The 8,205-nt window shown below is 32.3% G+C and overlaps 1 pseudogene, besides 1 other annotated feature; it reads right to left on the reverse strand.

Annotated features, from left to right (window-relative positions):
• Positions 517 to 1,716: an enhancer, noted in NCBI's record as "CDK7 strongly-dependent group 2 enhancer chr12:17535474-17536673 (GRCh37/hg19 assembly coordinates)". NCBI's record gives its function as "activates an origin of replication core promoter dependent on BRD2, BRD4, P300/CBP, MED14 and CDK7 cofactors, with strong dependence on CDK7, by STARR-seq in HCT116 cells {active_cell/tissue: HCT116}" and the evidence as "EXISTENCE:reporter gene assay evidence [ECO:0000049][PMID:35650434]".
• On the reverse strand, positions 1,090 to 2,622 carry PSMC1P8 (proteasome 26S subunit, ATPase 1 pseudogene 8; annotated as a pseudogene).

Consider the following 8,205-nt stretch of genomic DNA (forward strand, 5'->3'; position numbering starts at 1 on the left):
GGATGCATTGTTCAAGGTACCATCGTGGAAGCGGAGACTTGGATCTTACCAGACTTCAGATACTGGCACCTTGATCTTAGACTCCCCAGCCTTCTGAACTATGAGAAAGTAATTTCTGTTCTTTCTAAATTACCCAGTCTGTAGTATTCCATTATAAAAGCACAAAACAGACCAAGACAATGTCAGCTTTCTCAACTTAAACTCGTAAGCTAGATAACAAAGGAACATTGACAGTAAGAAATTTCAATATAAATTTCTATAAACAAGCTATCAAAATATGAGGTTAACATAAAAGTAGTTTCAGACATAATACCTTTTTTAAAAAGGCTATGAGTGACTCTCTTGGAATTCCTGCTAGCTTGGAAAGCAATGAGGCTAGATTGAAACAGAATGATTTAATACTCCAGGTGTAAGAGAAGCATAAGGTAATAAGGTAGGATGAGGGTCAAGAAGGAAGAGAATGAAAAAAATAAAAGGAAAGTGATAGATTACCTGATATACTGGGGAATATTAAGATTCTGTAATTTGTCAGCACGTTTGAAAACATTTAATAAGAGGTATGTAGGAATGACACAGAAAAATTTGAAGTATATTTTTATCTTCAGGAAAAACTAAGTATACAAGGTATATATTTGACAGATATTTTATGTCTGAATAATAATAGTCTTAATTATGTAAATCTCAAATATTTATTGTACATAATAATGACATTTTTCAAACTGAGATTTAAAGAAGTGAACTATGTACATGCTCACATAGAGAGCGTTGCTAGATTCTGTATTCATTTCAAAAATGTTACCATTGTATAATGGTGATATTTCAAAGAATCCAGAATTAAAAATTATGTATATAGTTGTGTTACTTATATATTCATAAATCAATACAAATAGTAAAGACTAAAGATTGAAGTGTATTGTGTCCTGGGAGTAGGCTGTGGTGAGGAAGTATATTAGAGGCAGTGGTGTTTTGTTGCAAATCTTTTTAAATAGATGGATTTTAAAAATACATAAAAACGTTACTTAAATTATGCTTTCATTGTACAGAAAAGTACTACAAATTCATTAAAGAATAGCTAGAAAATACAGACTGTGTGTGTGAAGGAGCACGCTTTATTGGGAAGCAGAGTGCTGCACAGTGACAAACGGACAAAGGCTGCCCAATGGGCAATTACACATCATACTCCAAAAGACACACAGGATGTTTTGCTAAGAAAAATCAATGGGAACAGGGATTCCCCTGGGAAACTCCCTCAAACTCATCCCTCTCAGGGGACGGGAAATCTCCCAACTATTTTCCTGATGGCAGCTGTGGTTCACTAGAAATAGATCCCCTTCCTGTTTCTTATAAAGAACATTTTCTTTCGATTTTTTGAAGTCTTCATTTGTTACTTTTATTCTAAGTTCTCTTAAGGACTTCAGACCAGCTTTTGTACAGATTGCTTTGATGTCATCACCAGAGAGGTCATCTTTAGCCATGATCAAGTCATGCAGGGTTACATCATCGGCCACCCTCATCCTGCTAGTGTGAATCTGAATGATGTGCTTCTCATTCTTTTCATCAGGCAGGAGGACCTCGATCTTCCTGTCAATGCAGCCTGGTCTGATAAATGCTGGATCCAAAGTTTCTATTTGGTTTGTGGCCATGATAGCTTTCACATCTCCCCTAGAATCAAATCCATCCAACTGGTTCAACAGTTTCAACATTGTTCACTGAATTTCTCTCTCACCACCAGAATTTGAGTTATATCTTTTTGAACCAATGGCATCAATTTCATCAATAAACATGATGAATGGTGCATGTTCTTCAGCAACTCGAAACAATTCCAGCATGGGTTTGAGCCCATCACCTAGGTACTTCTGAATAAGTTCAGAGCCAACCACTCTCAAGAAAGTGGCTGGGGTTTGGTTTGCTGCTGCTTTGACTAACAAGGTTTTACCTGTGCCCAGTGGACCATAGAGAACGACCCCCTTGAGGAGGCTTCATACCCATTTCTTCATAGTATTCAGAATAGGTGAGAGGAAGCTCCACAGATTCCAGATTCCTTAATTTCCTGAATTTGGTTTCCAATCCTCCAGTATTGGCATAGGTCTCCTGGGGGGGCCTTTTCCACCTTCATCACTGTGACCAGGGGATCCGTGTCATCCACCAGCGCCCCTATCATGGCATGCACCTTGTGGTTGAGCAGGACCAAGCCAGGTTCCAGCAGCTCCTTGTCTACAAATGAAAGAATGCTGATGTTGTGTTCTGAGCCCACAGATATGGACACGATGGCATGGTTGTCATGGGTGATCTCTTCCAACATTCCTCTGACATCAGGGTCCCCCTCAGATCATCCACTTTTGATCTTTCTTCCTATTGCTTTTCTTCTAATGGTTTTATTTGTTGCTGATTTATAATGAATTCTTTCTCCATGAGAAGATAGTCTTTAATTCTTTCTAACTTGAATCATTTTAACCAGCACTGAGTGTGAGTTGTCACCAGTGGCAGTTTGCTGGCAGCATCTGGTCTCTGTTTTCTTCTTTTGCCCCACTCTAGTCGGTACAGGAGGTTCGTATTTCTTTTTCTTGTCCTTATCATCCTTCTTGACCTCCAGGACCATGACCACCACTCTGACTTTGACCCATCTTGCCTTGGCACCAGACATTTTTAAAGGAAATAATTAAAATAGAACAGTCGATGATAATCACTAAAAGCATACTGATAGATACCCTTAAAGCTATATACACCTGTATGATACATACACATACATTTCTGCATTTCATTTATAATATCTTCATTTGGCATTTAAAAAATTTCAAAAATGTATTTTGCATCTCAAAAAGTATTGTATAAAAATATTATATTCACTCCTTTGGGGTATTTAGACTGTTTTATCTTTTAATAATCATAAGTAAGGCAGAAATCACCATCACTTTACCTGAATAATCTTCTCAAAATAATATTTAATTACATTTTCTTCATCACAGTTACAATAGCTTTTTTAAACTGCTAAATATCTAATCCTTATGGAATATATTTTCTTCTGTAATATGAGACCCTAACATCACTCATTTACAAATGATGAAGTGAAACTATATAAAGACTGTTGAATAGTTCACATTTTTGTGCTAATTTTGAATTGTTCCCTCACTTTAAAATAAATATGTATCTTTGAGTATGTTCCTCCCTATAATACAGTTTTATTTTTGTTTTCTTCTTCAATTTCTTGTATCATTTACCTATCTACTTATCTAATGGAAAAACTGGTCATTTATTATTGGCCTATAAAGTAAGACCATCAGTAAAATATTCAAAGTGTTAATTGGCATACATAAAACTGATAATTGGAAAACAGTAAAATATTTGTTATAGAATTTTTGTAGAAATAATTGATCAGATTAATGAGGTTTTACATTATACTTACTTTGCTATAAATACTTCTCACTAATATGGCAAATTATTCTATTTTTAAACTGTTAAGCCAACCTTGCATTCCTGGAATAAATTTAACTTTGTCGCAATATATTAGCTTTTTAAAGTATGTCATTAGGTTATTATGCTAGTATTGTAGTCATCAGAGAGATTCCCCTGACCATTTTCTTTTTCTTAATGTCTTTGTCAGGTTTTGGTATCAAGATTATCCTGGACTCATAAAATTAGTTTGAAAGTGTTTCTTCTTTTTATGTTTTGTATAAGAGTTTATGTTACTTTGCTATGAGTTCTTCACAAAAGTTTGGAAGAATTCACTGGTAAATCAAGTAGGTCTACAGTTTGCATCAACAGAAGATTATACGTTATTCATTCATTTTCTTTATATTTTGTTCTATAACCATTCAGATGTCTTCTTTAAATGTTTTTGCCCAGAAATTTGGATATGGTATCTAAAATTTTAAATTATCTATTTAATATCTATAAGATATATATTAATACTTCCTTTTCCATCTGAGATTGTATATATTCCTCATTCTTTTCTTGTATCTCTCTTTTCTTTCAGTTTTGATCAATCTTGAGAGGAATGTGTCAGGTTTAATAGTCTTTAAATATACAACTCTTTATTAATTTTCTTTATTAGATTTTTCATATTTGTTAATATAGTGACTTCTGTTTATTATTTCCATCCATCTTATTTCCTTTTGCTTAGAATGCAATTCTATTTCTGACTCTTAAAAGATGCTTACAAATTTAATTTTAAAGTTATTAAAACATTTTCTAATATATTGAAGGCTATAGGTTTCTTTATAAGCATATCTTCAATTGTATTTCACAAGCTATTTTTATATACCACATTGTTACTAAATTTAGTTCAAAATATTTTAGTTGCATTTTCACTTATTTTAGTCCATGAATTATTTAGCTTATATTCTTAATTTCCAAATATTTAAGATATTTCCATTTGTCTTTTACTTATTAATCATTAGTGTAAATTTAATGTGGCCAATGAACATTATCTATATAATTTCAGTCCTTTAAATTTTGTTCTATATGATATAACCCAGCAAATGCTCTATTTGGTGAACACTCTTATTTTTTCTTGAAAAGATATACATTTCCCTTTTAATTTGGTTCAGTTTTCCATACATACCAATTTTTTTTTGTTGCTAACATCTTTGATATTTTTGTTGCTAACATATTTGTTGTTTTGTCTATTCTTTTTTTTAACCATTTATCAAGAAAATCATTTTCCCAAGATTCCCACTTGGGTAGCTGACTCATGATAAATTTTATCATTACACAATTGCTGGTCCCAGTATTAACACTTCCTAACAAAGGAGGCCCTCATCTTTATTCAAGGTCCCAATCATAATCCCCATCTTTTCTTAATAAAAACATAAAAGTTTTACACATATATACATAACACAAAATATATTTATGTATTATATGTTCTCTATATACGTGCAAATATATTTAAATATTTTATATTATATATTGTTTTATTGCCCCACTGACAGTAAATATAGTTATTTGTATGAAAAACACCCCCATTCCCTTTTATTTTTTAAGAATACGTTTTGCTCAACATCATATTTTATTTCTTTTTTTTCTTTTTTCTATTTATTATACTTAAATTTTTTTTTATTTATTAAGTTTTAGGGTACACGTGCACAACGTGCAGGTTAGTTACATATGTATACAAGTGCCATGTTGGTGTGCTGCACCCATTACCTCATCATTTAACATTAGGTAAATCTCCTAATGCTATCCCTCCCCCCTCCCCCCACCCCACAACAGGCCCCGGTGTGTGATGTCCCCTTCCTGTGTCCATGTGTTCTCATTGTTCAATTCCCACCTATGAGTGAGAACATGCGGTGTTTGGTTTTTTGTCCTTGCAACAGTTTGCTGAGAATGATGGTTTCCAGCTTCATCCATGTCCCTACAAAGGACATGAACTCATCCTTTTTTATGGCTGCATAGTATTCCATGGTGTATATGTGCCACATTTTCTTAATCTAGTCTATCATTGTTGGACATTTGGGTTGGTTCCAAGTCTTTGCTGTTGTGAATAGTGCTGCAATAAACATACGTGTGCATCAACATAATATTTTAAATTGGCTGTTCCTTTATTCAGTATCTTATACATATCTTGACAGGGTCTAATGGCTCCGTCGTTGCTGTTAAGAAATCAGGTATCAGTCCTTTACCATTTCAATGTTATCTTTTTTTTCTGGATGCATTTATATTTTTTTTCTGTTTCTTTTTTTAATTTTGCTATTCAGGTATAAATTTTAAAAGGTTAATACAGTGTTCTCAAAACAGTGGATTGGTGTCTTTTATTAGTTTTGGATAATTATCTATAACATCTCTTTAGCTACTGTTTCTACACTTTTCTCTTTTTCCTATTCTTTTGAAATTTTGTCTAAATATACTGTATCTTCTATTATCTGTCACATATTCTTTCACCTTGGAGTTTCCATTTTGTCTTTTCACTTATTTGCAAACATTTTAATTCTCTCTTTACTTTGCCTAACCTTTATTTAATGCTACAATTGATTGTTAATTTTAGCTTTTATATGTTTTTTAGGTGTAGTATTTTTCCTTTTCCTAAATTAACTATGTCAATTTTATACTTTCCCATGTCCTGCTAACATTCTCAAGCTTGAATTTTGTTTTGTTGAACACAGTAAACATAGTTGATTTATAGTCTGGTGTTCTTGTAAGGCTAATTCTATTTTTATTATTTCCAGTGTATTCACTCATGTTTTCTTGTCTTCTTAAATACCTGGTTGTATAATCACTTATTTTACACCTTAGGTTGAATATCTTTAAAAAAAATGAATAACTATTTTCTCCTCTACCTTTGTCAAACCTATTTCCACAAGTCATCTTCACTTTATTACATAAATAATCCAGCTATTAGATTGCTAAACCAAATATGTTAGATGTCTTCCTTTTCTCTCTTTTTTCTCATCCCATAAATCTATTAAAATTAAAAATTAACTGTTTATTTTTACATCTAATAAAAGTATATAAAATATGTTCAAAACTTATCATGTACTATTATCTCTGATTTAGTCATAATTCAATCAGGAAAATAATTTAATATCAAAAATTAGGCATGCAAATAAACCTTTGAAATCAGAGAAGCAAAGATAAAAATTAGATGTATACTGAGCTAGTGTACTCAAAGATGCTGCTAAAATAGATGCCAGAGCCCAGACTGAAGAGAGATGACCATGGACTCTGAGGAGGCGACATTAATTCTGTACTACTTCTGATAAATCTTGGTCTGGGCTACCACTAATGATATCATAAAAAGGATTAACTTACTTTTCCTTATGCTGTCCTAATTTTGCATAAGTGTTTCACATTAAATAATCAAAATTAGAGCTCTCATGGAAAGCAATATATATATAAGCCTGAGTGCTAGCCTGCAGTGATGACTCATCACTGTAATTCACGCTCCCATAATATCTACAATCGACTACTTAGCTTTCAATCTTACTCTTTCTCATCTCCAAATCTATCCTCCAAACAATAGAAATCATATCCTCGATACCTTTATTGAATTATTTCAGGACCTGTCTTTAAACCCTTTAGTGACTTCCCTTTATATTTAGCATATATTCTTAATTTTGACCGTATCCTAACAAAATGTCATTGACCACAAGCCCTGCACAATTTAGCTCTATCTCTAGATCCAGTGTTATTTCTCTGCCTATTTTTACTATGCTTCAGCCATATTAATCTCCCATTTCCTATGTTATCAAATACCATCTTATATCAGGAAATGCATACATTGTATAAAAGTGTACATTTTATAAATGTGTACATCCCTTTGCACTGAATATTTTTTGTCTCTAAAGTTCACATGGCATGCTACTTTTTACCTTTTAGGCTCTATACTATATGTTTCGTCTTTGGAATAATTTCTTGTCCACCCTCAGGGATTTTCCATATCCCTACCAACGTTATGCTTTTTCTCATAATTTTCTTTGTTTTCATTCCTAAATCTTACAAAAATATGGAATCATTTTGTTTAATTTTGGTATACTAGTTTCAAACCTGTTTCCCCAAGTAGATTATAAACTCCATGAAAACAAGGAAAACATTTGTTTTTTCATCACTGAAATCCCATTACTAATCAGAAGTCCCAGTACCAAGGAAGTACTCAACAAACATTTTTGAATGCAGGAATAACTACGGAACTTTGGGGAAATTAATTATCTTCTCTAATCATCTTTAAAATGTAAACACACACAAATTCCACTCTTAGAATTATAGTGAAAATTAGATAAATACCAGGCAAATAATGTCCACATAATGTAGCTAATATCATTAACATAAAATATTAATATATCATAGCTATATAATATAATAATATATTATAATATATGTAACATAATAATATAATATATTATACTAATATTAATTAGAATAATCCCTGCTACTCAGGAGATTGAGGCAGGCAAATCACTTGAACCCAGGAGGAGAAGGTTGAAGTGAGCCGAGATCGCACTATTGCACTCCAGCCTGGGCGACAAGAGCGAAACTCCATCTAAATACAAAAAAAAAGAAGAGGAATCTAAATTCAGAAGTAATTGGCTATTTTTGAACAAAGATGATTTAATCTGTGCTTCAGGAACTTGAATTTGACCTTACTATAGGAATAATAGATAATATTAGAAAGTAAGCAGACTCGGTAAGAAGTTATTTTAGTAAAATATAAAAATAATACAGTTTTCAATTAAAATAGTGACACTATGACTAGTACCAAGTGTATGAATATTA

This window comes from Homo sapiens, chromosome 12 (genome assembly GCF_000001405.40).
Source record: "Homo sapiens chromosome 12, GRCh38.p14 Primary Assembly".
Lineage (NCBI taxonomy): Eukaryota > Metazoa > Chordata > Mammalia > Primates > Hominidae > Homo > Homo sapiens.